At 55.8% G+C, this 17775-nt stretch overlaps 1 protein-coding gene across 5 annotated transcripts in view; it reads left to right on the forward strand.

Annotated features, from left to right (window-relative positions):
* Window positions 1-17775, forward strand: part of CDH4 (cadherin 4) — a 688357-nt gene that overhangs the window by 588143 nt on the left and 82439 nt on the right. For all 5 annotated transcript variants that reach the window (NM_001794.5, XM_047439812.1, XM_047439813.1 and 2 more), the window contains 2 exons: window positions 4265-4420; window positions 12351-12495. In NM_001794.5, the coding sequence (NP_001785.2) occupies window positions 4265-4420; window positions 12351-12495 (301 nt within the window). The remainder of the gene's footprint in view (window positions 1-4264; window positions 4421-12350; window positions 12496-17775) is intronic.

Consider the following 17775-nt stretch of genomic DNA (forward strand, 5'->3'; position numbering starts at 1 on the left):
AAACCTGGCAAATCCTCCTGGGGGAGACTCTGCCAGAACGTTTCATGTCATCCAGCCATTTCTGAGAGGAGAACCGGCCTTCCAAGCAGAAGTCCCTGGGTGAACACTATCGCGGAGTCCCGTAAGTTATTTTAATGTAGACATCACTTTAAACTAACCTTTCACCATCTGTTCTGTCCTCTAATAACAAATGCGGAAGAGCGTGGGTCTCCACGGCATCCTAAGGCGATCGGCGCACTGGAGGCGCCTGTCTGTGCTCCCTATTCACGGCCCATCGTGGGCTTCTGCGGTGTTTGTCTCATTTGCCAGACACAAATCAAGTGGAAAACTGTTCTCCCCTGATCTGGTGGATTCACTCGCACAGTATTTCTTCTTAATATGGTAAACTGTGGGAGAATTCAGAGCATTTTGAGAGCTGATGCTCAGAGCCCGTGGATGCACATCACCCGCAGCCACCCGCTGCCCGCCATATTTCAGAGGCGGCCAAACGGGCCTGGAGAATAAGCAAATGCGGCCTGATGGCCAAAACGTAATGAGCTTTCCTTGAAAAACAAATTCTCTTTAAATAGGTGGTGGATTATTTTCAGCAGTCTCCTCATTAAATTTCCCTATGAAAGAGGGATTGATTCGCCCAAAACTAGCAATAGCGCACAGTGAATCTACAACCCATCCTTCCGGCTGCTGCAGACCCCGTCCCTGGCGCCCACCTCCTGCCTCCAGAAGACTGGACCTGGCTCTGTGTGTTCTCCTCAGCCCAGTGCCACTCAGCCACTCGAGCACCTACTGCGTGCTCCCAGTGCCCTTCTCCTAACCCAAAGCCAAAGCAGCGTCCATACTCATCAGGCCTCGGAGAAGCGCAGCGCTCCCGGACGGCGGGGCTGGTGGGCTCTGTACTCCACCTCAGCTGCCTGCTCTCCTGCGAATGTGATCTCTTAGCTTTTCTCCCACCCCCGAGGAACAAGTCATCAGAGGTGACAGGGAGAGGGGCTCCTCCCCTCTATCTAGACGTTGCCCCATACCCCCTCGTGACCAAACTTGGTGAAAACTCTCCATGGGTGGAGAAGAGATGGGCCTTGCCCATGGAAGGCCTGCAGGAATAACGTTGCTGGTGGCCTTGGGCAGTAGAGGGAGGGGTGATTAAGGCTCCGTTGGAGGCTTTTCCCATGGACCGCTGAGGGGCCCAGACCCGCCCTTCCCTAGGTCGCTGTCTCTGAAGTTCTGCTTGGTGTGTGCGGCTCAGGGCAGAGCTGGGAAAGGAACCTACCTGATCATGGGAAAGTAAGGAGGTGCATTGCGGGGGGGAACAAAGACGCTCCTCACAGACTGTGAGTGTGTGCACATGTGCACAGGAGTGTGTGTGTGTGCGCGCGTGCGCGCACCGTGGGCCTGCAGGCCTCCTCTCCTGGCGATGTCTCCTAGCACGTGAGCAGCCCCCTATTGGCACTGACCCCCATGGCGCCTTTATGATGGAAACAGCATCTCCCTCTTCCTATACGGAAAACAGCTTTTTTCTATTACGACATGAGACAGCCTTGGGGTGGCCGGTGTGCGGGGCACCTCACTCCTGCACGTAGGAACAGCTCTGGTGTGCAAATGCGAAATGCTGGCTTAAGAAAGATGTTCTCCATCAGGCTGAATTCTCTATGAATTGGAGTTTTTCCAGGGGATGACTTGCTTTCTTTGATACGAATTAAGCTGGAAGGGATACTCTATCAAACGTGCTTTGAGTCTCTCTGAAGGCTAGCCTATGATTGTCATCGTGCTGCAGAGATGAGGTGCCTGGCGAGAAGCCAGCCCTCTGTCTCTGAGGTAAGTGCTATTCAGGCGCGATGAAGGAGGCTTGGAAGTCACTGCTGCTTCTGCTGGCTGGCATCTCTGCTGGGTGTCACACCTATGCCACACGTGGGGCAGTTGCAGTGGTCATACTGTGTGTCATCAGAATTCAGAATGCTCCTGCATTTCAAGGTCTGCAAGCTTCATAAAAACCGAGTGGGCTGCTTTTTCTGTCTCGTTCTTTGCTCTGGAAAAGTTTCAGGAAATTCCAGAGCGAGCTGACCTGTCCTCAGATCTTTTAGAAGGAATTTCCTGAAGTCATACGGTATCTCCAGGTGTGTGTTCTCTGCTAGTCAAGTTTTAAATTGTATATTTTCTCAAAAAATAATCAATTTCATACAATTTTCACCTATGCTTGCATAACATATAGAGAAGAAAACGCTTTAAAACAAATCTTATTTTTTTCTCAAGTTTATCAAAGACACAGCTAGTTTCCTGAGGACTTTTCCCCTAACTACAGCTCTGGAATCTGTTACCCCTATTTTTCTGCTTTCAGATTTGGAAGTTTCTGTGTCATCTTTATTGATGACTTTGGTGTCTGCTGCTTCCTGCTTTCTTGTTCCTTTCCTTGTGGGATTGAGCGTTTGGTTTGTTGGCTGTAATTCCATTTTGATTATGAAAACATTCAAGGTTATGGGTTTGCAGGCACTCTACCTCTGGGCTTCACTGTATAACAGTCGCGTTGTTATATTATTATTAAACAAAAGAAATATTTTTAAAAGCCTCTAAAAATAACTTTGGTTCCTGTTGACCCAATGGTTATTTCGCAGTGTCATTCAGATTTCTAAAAGGTCTTTTTTCAGTTTTGTTATTAACTTTTAATTGTATCATTTCAGTAAAAGGTCCTAGTAAGGCCGAATGCGGTAGTTCACACCTGTAATCCCAGTGCTTTGGGAGGCCAAGGTGGGAGGATCGCTTAAAGCCAGAAGTTCGGCCAGGCGCGGTGGCTCACGCCTGTAATCCCAGCACTTTGGGAGGCCGAGGCGGGTGAATCATGAGGTCAGGAGATCGAGACCATCCTGGCTAACAAGGTGAAACCCCGTCTCTACTAAAAATACAAAAAATTAGCCGGGCGCGGTGGCGGGCGCCTGTAGTCCCAGCTACTCAGGAGGCTGAGGCAGGAGAATGGCGTGAACCCAGGAAGCGGAGCTTGCAGTGAGCCGAGATTGCACCACTGCAGTCCGCAGTCCGGCCTGGGCGACAGAGCGAGACTCCGTCTCAAAAAAAAAAAAAAAAAAAAAAGCCAGAAGTTCGAGACCAGCCTGGGAAACATAGTGAGACCTTTTCTGCACAAAAGAATTTCAGAAATTAGCCAGGCGTGGTTGCCAGCACCTGTAGTCCCAGCTACTCCGGGGCTGAGGTAGAAGGATTGCTTGAGCACAGGAGGTCAAGGCTGCAGTGAGATATGATTGCCCTACTGCACTCCAGGTGACAGAATGAGACCTGTCTCTAAAAAAAAAAAAAAAAAAAATTCCTGTTCCATTTTGTTTTGGGGGTATTTTTGGGGTTTCCGCTATGGCCCACTGTATTATGAAATGTTGTGATGGTCCTGTGGGCTTTGAGAAAAAAAGTAGTATATGCTAAAGACATGCTCAAAGTTGAATGCAAATCCATTCATTCCACCTTCTCAGTTTCACCTTTCAAATCTCCGTGGCCTCCCCCAACTTCCCTGAGGGAACCCCCAGGCTCTGGGAAGCGCCACTCACCTGTGGTGGGCTGGTGACCACCAAGTCCCCCTCCTCATTACAGGAGGTTTCGCCTCAACTGAGTGAAAGACGTGCATCTTGTTTTTAATGCTACCAGTGTCCTTTCTGTTTCCCAAAATCTTGTATGAATCTCAATCTTTGCTCAAAAACCAAATGAAGCCTTTGCCTAACCCTTCCCCATCCCAAGTAAAACTCAGAGTTTCGTGTCTGCCTGTGTCTTTCCATTTCCTCCCCCAGTTAGCAGCCTTTTCTAGCTTACTTTGGACTTGGGACCCGGATAACCATCATTCAATTGTTTTCTAAACAATTAGAAAGGCTGGGACACACATGCATTGGGTCCTAGTCTTTTCTCTCACTGTGGAGGTTGCTCTGTTTTCTTGCCTTTGTCTAGTCCTGGGTTTGATGTCAGAACACGAGGCCATTTTATACCATCATTTCCATTGTTTTCATCTGTGCTGTGGATGTCTGCCAGGCATCCCGAGTTCTCGGTGTATTTGCTGAGTTACTGACAGGCCCTAGACCTGCAGTCGGCGGCTCTCAGTGAAACCCTGACCACCGACTGTCCTTCCACTTCCCAAAGTGGATGAAAGATCAGCTGTGGTCCCCATTGTACCTGAAAATGGTCGAGCTCGAGGAACTCATGAGAGGGGATGAATGTCAGAGATCGGCCCCGGGCCTCTCCTCACCACAGGATAACCTCTTCTCGCTTTGCTCCTGCCTTTCAGATCCGGTCCGACAAAGACAATGACATCCCCATCCGGTACAGCATCACGGGAGTGGGCGCCGACCAGCCCCCCATGGAGGTCTTCAGCATTGACTCCATGTCCGGCCGGATGTACGTCACAAGGCCCATGGACCGGGAGGAGCACGCCTCTTACCACGTGAGTGTCCACACCCGGCTGAGAATGGGGCCCTGGGGTGGCGATCCCAGCCCTACCAGGCCTTGGCAGGTGCCCCCAGCAGGGCCATGCCTGCCCTAACTCTACAGGCAGCACTCCAACTTTGGCCTGGAGCAGAATCCTGGGAAGCTGGGGAAAGCCCAGGTCGCTGGGCACTGTCCCCCGTCTAATTCAGCAGGGTGGGCCCAGGGTGGGCCTGGGAAACTGCATTTCACACACTCCCCAGGACGCAAGTCAGGCCTGGGCCCACACTGGGAGAACTACTGGTCCAGAAGGCCTCCATCCACGTGGTCTTCTGCTTTGGATGGCTCTGCGGGGCTGGGAGTCAGGGTCACCAGCTGCGATGCTCCCTCGGGGCCCCTCATGCTGCTCTTGGCCCCTTTCTCCGAAGCACAGCCCATTGTCCCTCACACCCTCTCTAGGCTGGGACAATAGTCCTGCAAGCTTTTCATTTCCTCCGACGTCTCTCGCGGCAGAAAGAGCCTCTGAAAGGAGAGCCGCGCTGATTCCCTGTCAGGGGCTGTGCACGGAAAGAAATGCTAGAGAGACGTGGGGCTGCGGCCTCAGCTTCCAGGGGGCGGGCCTTCTCCTCCCGGGCCGAACTGACCCTGGCCGAGAGGAGGGGGCCTGGGCCATGGTGAAAGCAGTGGGGAGTGCACATCCCTTCACCTCAGGGTCCAGAGCTGTCCATCACGTGTAGGTGAAGGCCTCGCCAGCAGCGCAGAACAGGCTGGAGCCAAATCACGAGGGTCACACCCCGACCTGCCCCTGGCCAGATGTGAGCTATTGGGCAGATGCTGTCGCCTCTCCTGGCCTCAGTCCCTGCTCCTCCTCATGGGGTTGTTCTGAGGACTCCAGGGTTAACCCTGGTGAGGCGTTCAGCACAAGCCCGTGCTGTCAGGGCCGTGTGCTTCTCCGTGGTAACTCGGGAACAACCATGGAAGACTTGGCCCCACCTGACAGTGTCACCTTGCTCGGTTCCACCTTCGCTTGGCTTCAGTCAGTGGCACCGAACAGGGCCCGACCCTGCAGCTTCTCACGTCTGTGACTATTTGTTTTGGGGTTCATTCATTCCATCTCGCACCAGAAGGAGGCTGCATAGGGGCAGGGAACCCTCCGGCTTTTCCACGCCAGATCTCAGGCCCAAGTACAGAGCCTGGCCTTCAGGGGGCTCACTAAGCATTCAAGGAAGGGAGGGCGTTGACGGGAGAAGATCGGTTTTGCTGTTGGCCACAGTGGCCTCCCTGACAGCCCCTGAGGCACCGTCTGAAGCAGGGTCGGAGCTGGATGGATCCTGGGGAGCCCACTTGGGAGGTGGCTGCCCTAACCCCGGTCTGCACCGGGGCCTTATCAGTCCCTCACGGCTGCCTCCTGGGAAGGCTCACGCCTTGGCTGGGTGTTGGGGAGACCTGATTGACAGTGCCTGGGCTTCGTGTGCTGGGCCCCCCAGGAGTGGCCGAGGCAGAACCACAGAACCAACCAGAGACTCCGGCTGACGCCCCCTGGCTATGCAGCAAGAGACAGGCCCTCAGCATGGCTGCTGGCTCCCAAAACGGGCTTTGGGCTGCCGTCAACACGCGTCTACAACAGGCTCAGGAACCGGAACTCAACAGCCCTTACTGCCAAGAAATAGCTACGGACCAAGGACTTAGGGAGAGACACAGACACACACACACACACAGAGATAGAGATACAGAGACAGAGAGGGAGACAGAGACACAGAGAGAGACATAGGAGACAGAGAAGAGAGACACAGGTAATACAGAGACAGAGGCATAGAGACAGAAATAAAGAGAGAGACTGACCGTGAGAAACAGATTCAGAGACAGAGACTTGATACAAGTCTTGCCACATCTAGATGTGGGGCAGGGGGAGCCAACCCTTCAACTCTGTGAATTCCTGACACGTGTTTCTGTCTGTTGTTTTTTTAACCAAGGCAGACTTGGAGCGGGGTCAGCCCACTTCTTCCTGGTGTGGCATTGCACATGCAGCCTGTGGGTGCTCGCTGGGGCATCCAAGGGGCACCAGGAGAGCTGGGTCAGCCCACTTCTCCCTGGTGTGGCATCGCAGATGCAGCCTGTGGGTGCTGGCCGGGGCATCTGAGGGGCACCAGAAGTGCTGTAGGGCTGCCGGGTGCCTGTTGCAGGAGGACTCAGGACCCAGCACTTGCTGAATGCACAGTGATTCCCAGGTGACCTGCACCAGCAGAAGGCCTCTTCCTTCCATTTCATCTTATAATTCCTCCTGGAAACCTGGAGCTCAGAGCTGGCCCTCCCTGCATCATCCCCAATGAGCTGTTTCTCCTCCATGGATTCTCACCAGAGGCAGCCTTCGCATTCCCACCAACTCCCCGGAAAAGGTTTCAGGGCTCAGCTACCTCTGCACACAGCACGGCTAGGGGACGGGGACCTCCAGGGCCACCACTGGACAGTGCCCCCTTCATGCACCTTGAAGCCTAAGGCACAGCCTGCAACCCAGCCTGGGAGTTCTGCCCACAGCAGGGGTCCGGCTGTGCAGGGCTAGAGGTTGGAATGGCCACTCCAGGGATCTGGGTCACCCACCCCTCTATGATTCATTCCCAAGGCCCTCCTCTCATGCACAGGTAGAAATTTTCAACCCACCATGTGCAGAGACAGTGGCTGGCACTGGGGAGGAATCCAGCGCCCCCACCACCTCCTGCCATGCCGTGCAAACATGCCGTGTAAACATGCGGTGTAAACACGCTGTGTAAACATGTGCAAACACGCTGTGTTAGCCCTTTCATATTGCTATAAAGAAATACCTGAGGCTGCGTAATATAGAGAGAAAAGAGGTTTATTTGGCTCACGGTTCTGCAGGCTGTACAGGAAGTATAGCGCCGGCATCTCCTTCTGGGGAGGCCTCAGGAAGCTTCCACTCATGGGAGAAAGTGAAGGGGAGCAGACGTCCCACGTGGCAGGAGTGAGAGAGAGAGAGAGAGGGACGGAGGTGCCAAGCTCTTTAAACAACAGGCCCTGGAGTGCACTCAGAGCAAGAATTCACGTGTTACCACAAGGGCAGCACTGAGCCATTGACAAGTGATCCACCCCCATGATCCAAACACCTCCCACCAGGCCCACCTCCAACACTGGAGGGCACATTTCAAATGAGATCTAGAAGGGACGGAACATCCAAACCACGCCACACACCTCCATTCGTCTGTTTATTCTTTCTGCCTAATGCATATGCAGAGCTTTGCTCAGCACCAGGCTCTACCCAGGAAAGGTGCAGTGCCTCTGTAGATGGTCCTGCAGCAAACCCCCAGAAAGATGGGGATCACAGGCTGGTGGGGACCAGGGACCTGGGTCCCACACCTGCAGGCCCCAGCCCTCACCACGGATGCACTCAGGCCTCCCACACTCCCCACCTGAGCTGGCCATGAAAGAAGATGAGGGAGCCCAGGGCGGTGGGGGTGGGGCTGCTGGTGAAAGGTCAGGCCCACCTGCCCCAGCCACCCACGTGGCTTGCCAGTGCGCAGACACTTTTGCACACACGTTGCCTTCCCTTCTTTTGTTTTTCTTTTGTTTTTTGAGACAGGGTCTCGCTCTGTCACTCAGGCTGGAATGCAGTGGTGCAATCTCAGCTTACTGTAGCCTCAACCTCCCAGGCTCAAGCAATCCTCCCACCTCAGCCTCCCAAGTACCTAGGACTTTTTTTATTGTATTGTATTGTATTGTATTTTTTGAGACAGAGTCTGACTTCGTCAGCCAGGCTGGAGTGCAGTGGTACTATCTCGGCTCACTGCAACCTCCGCCTCACAGGTTCAAGCGATTCTCCTGCCTCAGCCTCCCAGGTAGCTGGAACTACAGGCACCCGCCACCACGCCCAGCTAATTTTTCTGAATTTTTAATAGAGACAGGGTTTTACCATGTTGGCCAGGCTGGTCTCAAACTCCTGAGCTCAAGCCATCTGCCTGCGTCAGCCTCCCAAAGTGCTGGGATTACAGGTGTAAACCACTGCACCGAGCCCACGTTCCTGTCTATTTCCTGCCCCAGCCCTGAGGCTTCATGGTTTTCTCCCTGCTTTGAAGATGAGAAATGCAGTCATCCCACATCGCCAGCATCTCTTGCTGCCTCCTGCACACCAGGTTCTAGGAGCAAGCTCGTGGAGATCATTAGTTTTATCATCCTCATTTCCCATTTTCACAGTGAGGAATGGTGAGCCCTGAGATCTGGCTGGACTCCAGCCTTCTCACCCCTTCAGGGACTGCAGAGTCAGCAGGAGATGCAGGGCCCAGAAGGGAGAAGAAGCTGCATCGTCTGCCAAATTCTGGAATGAAGCCCTCAAGTTCCACTTGTAGCTAATCTCTCTGTCCCACCGAGATGGAGGCCTTGGGGATGCCTGGCTTTCCTGCCCTTCCCTGGAGAAGGAAGCCCCTCCCTGCAAGCATCACACTCCTCATCAGACTCCAGTGTGACCCCAACTCCGGATTTCCACCTTGTAGGATGCCCACCAGGGTCTTTGGGGGCAGCTGTGCCAGCCAGCAGGGGTGTGTTAGTTCTCTGCACTGTGTAACGAATCAGCACAAACTTAGTGGCTGAAACAACGCCCTATGAGTTCACCGTGCTGTAGGTCAGAAGTCCAGATGGGCTTGGCTTGTGTTTCTGCTCCGGGTCTCACCAGGCCAAAATCAAAGTGCCGGCCAGCCTGGGTGCTCCCCCGGCCCTAGGGAGGATCTGCCTCTAGGCTCACCGGCCTGGGTGCTCCCCCGGCCCTAGGGAGGACCTGCCTCTAGGCTCACTGGGGCTGTGGCAGGTCTGGATCCTTGTGGTTGCAGGACTGAGGTCTCCATGTCCTTGCTGGCTATTCGGGGGGCCACAGCCACCCCCTGAAGGGCACCTGCATGCCTCGGCACGTGTCTCCTCCACTGTCACCCAGCAAGGTGCATAGGATGCCCGCATGCCCTTCTCTCCTGCCTCCAGCTGGAGAACGTTCAGCTTTCGAAGGCCCATGTGGTTGGATGGCGTCCACCCAGCCCTGTCTTAAGGTCAAAAACGTAGCCCAGTGGGGAGGGAACACATCTGTCTTCACATCTGGGACCAGCACCTGACATCCTTGGGGCCATCTTAGAGTTTTTCCTACCTCCCCAGTGTCTTTAGATCCTGTTCCATTTTCCACCCAGCTCTGTGGGCTGAGGGTGGCGAGGACGCATCCCCAGCCTGAGTACGCTGACGACTGTGACACGTGTCACCCTAAAGCCAGCCTGTAAACATTCAAACGCACAACACGCACAAGTGCTCACTGCTGGCTTTGCAGGGTGATGCTCCAGAAGATTCCTTGAAGGATTCCGTAAGTTAGACACATTAGCTCACCCAGCCACACGCTGTCATCTTCCGAAAGTTTTCTAACCTTTCTGAGCCTCAGTTTCCTCATCTGTAAAATAGGGACCAAGACAATGCCAATCTCACAGATTCTGATGAAAATTGGAGTTAACGTGTGTAGGGTTCTTATAGCACTGCCTGGCCCTGAGCAAACGCACGGTGCGTGTTGGCTGCCGATGTCACTGATGAAGAAAGTCTCCAACACCTTTACCCCTCGGCCACTTCCAAGACCCTCATGGACTGTTCCCAGTTCCATACGCCTTGGAGGGAACCCACACCCACAATTAAGATAGGAGGAAAAGAGAGCAGCCAAGAGGCGGGAGCATTAGATCCCACACACATCTGGACAGTCATCTGTCAACAGACACATTTCCCCCGAGCGCCTTCCCGCCCCAATGCCAGACCACGCCCATGTATTAATATTTCCTAATCTTGTCTCCCGGAACGAGGATAGAAAAATGTCCTATTCAAGATGTTGCAGGAAATGCACTCTGCGCCTGACGCTCCGATTTGCAGGTTGCAGAACGCTCGGAGGACTCCTCCACCCATGTTTGCGTGTTTCCTCCACCGTCATGGTGAGGTCACCTCTCTCAGGCCCACCCTGGGTGTGCCCAGCCTGAGAGATGGGCAGGGGAGATTTCTACAGGAGCTGTCAAATGTATTTGAATCTTTTGGGGGTGAGGCAGGGAGTGGGACAAGGAGGACACAGGCCACGGGCAGAGGCGGTATTTCCTCGTTATCCGCACTCGCGCTGCTCCCGCTGCTACAGATAGCGCCTGAAACTGCTTTAGTTAGGAGATAATAACTTTAATTTTAGCTCAGAATTACTTTTCCCCCGAGGCCCTGTGACCTCTGGGCGTGTGGGAAACACATCCATAGCAGGACGGAGCTGCAGATGGGTCGGGGATGGGGGAGTCTGCCCGCGACGGGGCGGGGACAGCCGGTTCCAGCAACCCCACAGCACTTCAGGCTGTTTAAACATGATATGTAAAGCTGACCTGGCGTGCGTGCAGCCACATCTCGCGTGGCAGTCTGCAGTTCCTCCAGGAGTCAGTGCTAGCTTGTCTCCTTACTACAGCACAGATTGCCTCTTTGGGTAAAGCCAGCCTCTAGATCTTCCGTAAACACACAATGTAGGGGGTAAAATTCCACTCTGGATGGTTGGAGCCAAACCAAAACACTGGTATAGGCATGGACACAGTTAGCTCCTGGGTTTCCCTGGGGCAGGCGTGGAATTCAGGGCCCCCCTGATCCCCTGAGTTCGGGGGAGTGGCAGCGGCCATGTGAGGCAGGCCACCAAGGGGATGATGTGGAGACCCGTCTGGCATGGGGCTTCTCTCACGGCCACCCTGGGCTGGGTGATGTTTTGCTGCAAATACCTTGAGTGAGGTCTGTTGTGTCCAACTTCGAGGGTGATGTGGAGTTTTGGCAGAAAGATGTGAGCTGAGGACACCTCTGGCTGACCATCCAGCTCTGGGTGGAGAGGCCTCGGATGTGCCCTTTCCACTCCCCGACAGCCCCTCAGCAGCCCCCTCGCCTGCCGGCAGCGCCCAGCCTCTCTGTGTCCTCTGCCTTGGCCTGTTCTTGAGGTCTCAGCTCAAGCAGCCCCTCCTCCGAGAGGCCTCCCTGGCGGCCACCACACCCACTGATGGCTTCTTCTCTTCCCGGTGTCCATTGTCCCTTGGATGGAAGCTCCAGGGCAGCCACACTGCCTTCAGTGCACAGTAATCTAGGGTCCAGCCCAGCACCTGCCATTGCAGGCCCTTGATGGGCATCTGCAGAACAAATGAATGAGTGAAAGAACAAATCCAGAACTTAAGGGGTGACTCTGAGAAGCTCCTGCGGAACCTTCCAGCCCAGATTCAGCTCTTCCCTTTTCACCTCGAAGATGGTTCCTGTGACGTTCCCAGGAGCTCCACACAGGCCTCCCGGCCCTGCCTCTCCACGGATCCCCCCACCCCACCACCCATATTCCCCTGCTGTGCCCAAGAGCTGACAGGGCACACAGACGCAGAGGAGCCTGGAACTTGTCCAGGCTGGACTCTCAGTGGACGCCCAAATGGGCCCAATTCCCAGCCCAGCTCTGGCCCTTGCACACCCCGACCTGTCTCCTCCCCATCTCCCCTGGGGACTAACCTTACAGTGGCAGGAGTTAAGCCCCCGCCCAATTAGGCACAAATGTCTTTTCTGTTGCCACTTTGGGTGGACATCACCCCATCCAAGGGGCACCTGTCCTGCTCCAGACATCTGATCAGAACAGTCGGTGGCTCACGGAACAGTCGGGCAGGCATGGGAGGTCCTGGGTGGGCCTGGGCCTGACCATGGGGTGTTGGGGGGTTATGCTGGCTTCCAGCTCTGTGCGTCGCCCCACTCTGCACTCTCCTGACCCCCGTTTCTGCAGAGGAGAGAGCTGAGGCTCAGAGAATTCCATGACGTGTCCAAAGCCCCCCGGCCCCTATAGCCAACCTGCTTCTGCCATCAGTCTCCTACCCCAGCACCGCGGGTCCCAGGCCGCTCTCAGCTGAGTGGGGGTGCCCACCCGCCACTGGGCCCTGTCTCTGCTGCTTTTCCAGCTCCGAGCCCACGCTGTGGACATGAATGGCAACAAGGTGGAGAACCCCATCGACCTGTACATCTACGTCATCGACATGAATGACAACCGCCCTGAGTTCATCAACCAGGTCTACAACGGCTCCGTGGACGAGGGCTCCAAGCCAGGTGAGGCCTTTAGCGTTTGCTTGCTGGAGACCCTGTGGGCTCTGCGGGTGCAGCACAGGCCCTGAGGGCAGGGGAGGGCTGCTTAGTCCCCGCTACCAGGATGGTGCCACGGGACTTGGGCGCAGACACACAGCATGCAGCAGACGTCCACCAAAGCCCCTGCTCTCACAGGCCTTGGGGTCAAGGGGGTTGCAGACCACAGGTGAGAAGCGATTGCAGCCACAGCAGGGCCAACGGGCTGGGAAGAAAACCCGGGCACTGGGAGTCCTGGGGACAGCGGTGGGCCTGGGCAGGCCCCTCTGTGCAGCTGGCGTGTGGGCTGGGAGCTGAAGCCTGAGGTGGAGCAGCTCCCGGAGTGGGACTGGGGTGGGCTCCCGGGCAGGCGGAGAGGCTAGGGGAGCAAGGTGCCCATGCCAGGGCCTGGGGAGGCAACGAAGTCAGAGGGCTGAGGCCACTGGAGGCCTCCCAGCTAAACGTAAGATTTGGTTCCAAGCAAAACGGGAAGCGAGAGAGGCCCGGACTCCCCCCACAGAGGCGATCCCATGTGACTGAGGCTGTCTGCTCCCCTCAGAGCTGACCCAAGAGCCTGTCCCCCGAGACTTCACTCTGGCACCGGTGGTGGCGCCTGCTTTTTCATGTGTGGGGCCCTAGCTGAGCGTGTCATGTCTTGCATCTCTGCCGTCTGTGACTGCCAAGAAGTGGACGACCCCCACCAGCAGTGAGGAGGCTCAGGCCGGGGAGGTGAAGCAGTTGCAGACCCTCAGGGCGCACATGGGTTAGAACCTGGGTGTCCACATCCCCACAGGGCTGGCACAGCCCCCACCTGCTCATCCAGATGCTGCAGGTGGCCTGGGGCTGTGGGTTAACAAACCCCAGGGGGCTTCTGTGTGAGGGGAGCAGCTCCCCACTGTGGCTGCCTCCTGCATGGGGGGTGGAGAGGGGTCCTCTTTGGGACAAACCTTTGCCCGGCTTGGGTTGGGTCGGGGGAGGTGAGGTCACTGAGGAGACCTCTGCTTGGGCCACCCCTAAAGTACAAGACACCAAGTAAATGTGAAGTTCAGAGAGTCAGCAAAGCACTTTAAAGTGTGGCCTAAGCACCATTTAGGACGGACTTACACTAAGAGAGTAATCCTTGCTGATCTGAACTTCGAGTTTAATGGGGTGTCCTGTATTTTCACCAGCAACCACACCCCTGGCCAGTGCCCAGCAAGTGACGGCTTCCAGGCTTTACAGAAGTTGGCAGTCCTGGGCAAATGGGAGGCTGTTTCTGCATTGAAATCTGCAGCACATGGAGCCCAGAGCCAGGGCCAGCTCCCAGGGGCACCACACGCCCCTGCAGGCCCCCAGAGAGGGGTCAGCAGCATCCCAGCTCTGGGACTGGAAGGCAGGCCTTTATCACACCTGCTCGTGGAGGTGGCTGCGTGGGCGGTCCCTGGGCTATAGTGTGAACAAGGTGAATTATACCCTCGGTCCGCCCCCAGGGCTGCAGTGTGAACAGGGTGAATTGCACTCTTGGCCTGCCCCAGGGCTGCAGTGTGAACAGGATGAATTGTGCCTTTGGCCCACCCCCAGGGCTGCAGTGTGAACAGGGTGAATTGTGCCCTTGGTCCACCCCCAGGGGTGCAGTGTGAACAGGGTGAATTGTGCCTTTGGCCCACCCCCAGGGCTGCAGTGTGAACAGGGTGAATTGTGCCCTTGGTCCGCCCCCAGGGCTGCAGTGTGAACAGGGTGAATTGCACCTTTGGTCCACCCCCAGGGCTGCAGTGTGAACAGGGTGAATTGTGCCTTTGGCCCACCCCCAGGGCTGCAGTGTGAACAGGGTGAATTGTGCCCTTGGTCCGTCCCCAGGGCTGTAGTGTGAACAGGGTGAATTGTGCCCTTGGTCCACCCCCAGGGCTGCAGTGTGAACAGGGTGAATTGCGCCCTTGGTCCACCCCCAGGGCTGCAGTGTGAACAGGGTGAATTGTGCCCTTAGCCTGCCCCAGGGCTGTAATGTCAACAGGGTGAATTGCGCCTTTGGCCCACCCCCAGGGGTGCAGTGTGAACAGGGTGAATTGCGCCTTTGGCCCACCCCCAGGGGTGCAGTGTGAACAGGGTGAATTGTGCCCTTGGCCCACCCCCAGGGCTGCAGTGTGAACAGGGTGAATTGTGCCCTTGGCCCACCCCCAGGGCTGCAGTGTGAACAGGGTGAATTGCGCCTTTGGCCCACCCCCAGGGGTGCAGTGTGAACAGGGTGAATTGTGCCCTTGGCCCACCCCCAGGGCTGCAGTGTGAACAGGGTGAATTGTGCCCTTGGCCCACCCCCAGGGCTGCAGTGTGAACAGGGTGAATTGCGCCTTTGGTCTGCCCCCAGGGCTGCAGCGTGAACAGGGTGAATTGCACCCTTGATTGGTTGTCTTTCAGGATTATGACACACGGGTGCATCCAGTGTCACTGAAGGGAATGAATGTGACATTATTTCACTGGAACCATGGGCAGCTGGTCCTCAGCCATCCCTTAAGGGGCAGGCAGGGGGTGAGCAGATTAGCTCCAGGCAGCCAAAGAAAACGGATGAGGACACAGGAGCCCCTCGCAAGGGTGCAGATGTGGAGGAGTGGGCGGCAGGCCAGGCACACTCCTCACACAGATACCACTGGCCTCTCTCCCGGAGACCCAGGATGCTATTTAAAGGCGCCTGGATTTTCCTGGCCTTTCTATCACAAATCAAACCTCCCGTGTCTTACTTTTTAAAAAATCAATAGCAAAAGTCTTCCCAAAAGCGCAATTGGCTTTGCTCATTAGGATAACAAAGAGCAAATTGCGGAGACGTGGCCCCGTAAGTCCACGTAAGCCAAGCCTGGAGAGCCCGGCTGCCCGGCCATTTGCAGAGCTGGGCACGGCCTGGCAGCCAGAGGACATGTTGATGCCGGGACCCCGGAGTCAGCCCTTCTTCCCACCATTCCTGAGCTTTTCCAGGACTATGTTGAGTGAAACGTCCATGGACTCTCAGAGCCCCTGGGGGATCGGGAGTCTGTCTCTGGTCCCACAACAAGCTGTCTTTGTGCAAAGGCCAGGACGGAGCTGGAGGTGCCACTGTCAAGCCCACCTCGGTCACCCTTCACCCACCCCAGACAAGGGCAGGGAGAGATGGTGTCCATGCAAAGTGTGGCTTGCTTCTCTCAGTGGCGGTCTTCCCAGGACTTGGAAATCATCTCTACAATTTCTTCTCTTCCATCAGTAAATTACAATAATAGAAGGGTTCTACACAGTGCCTTTGTGGGATAAGGAAAAACTACCGCCAGAAATTAGTCATTATTCTCTGGAAGGACAGGGTAATGAAGGGTTTCAGATGCGTGTTCTAATGGAAAACAAATGGAAAGATGGGTTAAATATTGACTCAGCTCCAGAGGAACTTCGAAGGCTTGGGGAGTTCATCTGGGGACATGAGCATGCCAGTACAGGCCCGGGATCCATGAGGGTCCTGTGTGCCCCCCACACTCTTCTCCAGCCCCCCGGGATTCACAAGAGTCCTGCGTGCCCCCCACACTCTTCCCCAACCACCCTGGGATCCACGAGAATCCTTCATGCACCCCACACTCTTCCCCAGCCCCCCAGGATCCACGAGGGCCCTGCATGCATCCCACACTCTTCCCCACCTCCCCCCGCCGGGATCCACAAGGGTTCTGCGTGCACCCCACATTCTTCCCCAGCCCCCTAGAATCCATGAGGGTCCTGTGTGTACCCCCACATTCTTCCCCAGCCCCCTAGAATCCACGAGGGTCCTGTGTGCACCCCACACTCTTATCCAGCCCTCCTGAATTCATGAAATCCCCTGGGGCACTACTGACCTGCCCTGCTGGGCTCAGAGGGTGTGGCAGGCACCGTGGCCGGCTCTTTTGTGGTTGAGGCACAGAGTGAGATGTCTTGTTAGTGAGCAGGAGGCAGACCCCACCCCAGGGGCTCCCCGAGCAAGGGGACCATGACTGGGAAGTGCAGGCAGGGCTGGCAGTGCCAGGTGTGGCAGCGCCCCTGGCTGAGATGTGTTTCCAGAGTCTCCCCGGCCGGTTTTCAACCCCACCCTCCTTTCTCCTCCAAGAGATCCTCTCTGCTGCAGCCACCATGGCCTTGGAGGCCAAAAGCTTGTTCCTAAGCAGCTGGACAGCCCTGGGGGTGAGGGGAGCGTGTCTTTCCCAAGAGTCCCCGCAAAAGTCCCAAGGCAGGTTCTCGTGGGTCTCACTGCCCTGCCCCTGCCCCCATACCCCTCCCCGGGGCAGAGGGTGACAGCCTGTGGCACACAACCGGGGGACACCCTCCATCTTCATGCGTTCCGCGCTGTCTGGGATGGTGGGCGGCGCGTGTGCGTTCGCCATGGAGTAAGACGGGGCTCCAGGAAGTGGGCGTTCCCACCGAGGCCTTCGGCCCGGGCTGCGTATGTGACCCTAAGGCTGGTGAGTTCCGATGGTGGGAGAAGGCCCTGCTGGGTGACCCGCAGACCCGTACCACAGACGTTTTCCACAAAGAAATCAACGTTGGTTTATTTCAAGTTCCCCAGAAAGTGGAACCAAAATCAGGGTTCCCTCCAAAAAAAAACAAGGTCCACCTGAAATGACGGGAGGGCCGAGGATTTTTGCCCAGTTTCCAGCGAGGCCTGAGGCCCACGGAGGTGACTAGGGGCCCCCCATGTGGAGGGAGCTGGGGCCTGGCTTCGCAGCCCTCACTCCGTCCACCCAAGCTTCGCCACTTTCGTCTGCTGCGTTGGGCTTCCCGATGGGATTTCACTGGAAGAAATGACTTCTCAAAAAATCTTTTTATTTTGAGATAATTGTAGAGTCACATGCAGTTGTAGGAAATAAGACAGACAGATCCTGTAAGCCCTTCAGCCAGCCTCCCCCAAGGGTGATATCTTGCAGAACCGCAGTGCAGGTCACAGCCAGGAAACTGACCTTCGTACCGGCCACAGCCCCTACTAGGATCCCACCCGTTTGACCTGCATTCATTGGTGTGTCTGTGTGTGTGTGTGTCTCTGTGTGCATCTGTGTGTGTGTCAGTGTGTGTCTGTCTGTGTGTCTCTGTGTCTGTGTGTGTCTCTGTGTGTCTCTGTGTCTGAGTGTGTGTGTCTCTGTGTGTCTCTGTGTCTGTGTCTGCATCTGTGTGTGTGTCTGTGTCTGTGTGTCTCTGTGTGTGTGTCTGTATATGTCTCTGTGTGTGTCTCTGTGTCTGTGTCTCTGTTTCTGTGTGTCTGTGTCTGGGTGTCTGCATCTGTGTGTGTGTCTGTGTCTGTGTGTCTCTGTGTGTCTGTGT

Source organism: Homo sapiens, chromosome 20 (assembly GCF_000001405.40).
Source record: "Homo sapiens chromosome 20, GRCh38.p14 Primary Assembly".
Classification (NCBI taxonomy): domain Eukaryota; kingdom Metazoa; phylum Chordata; class Mammalia; order Primates; family Hominidae; genus Homo; species Homo sapiens.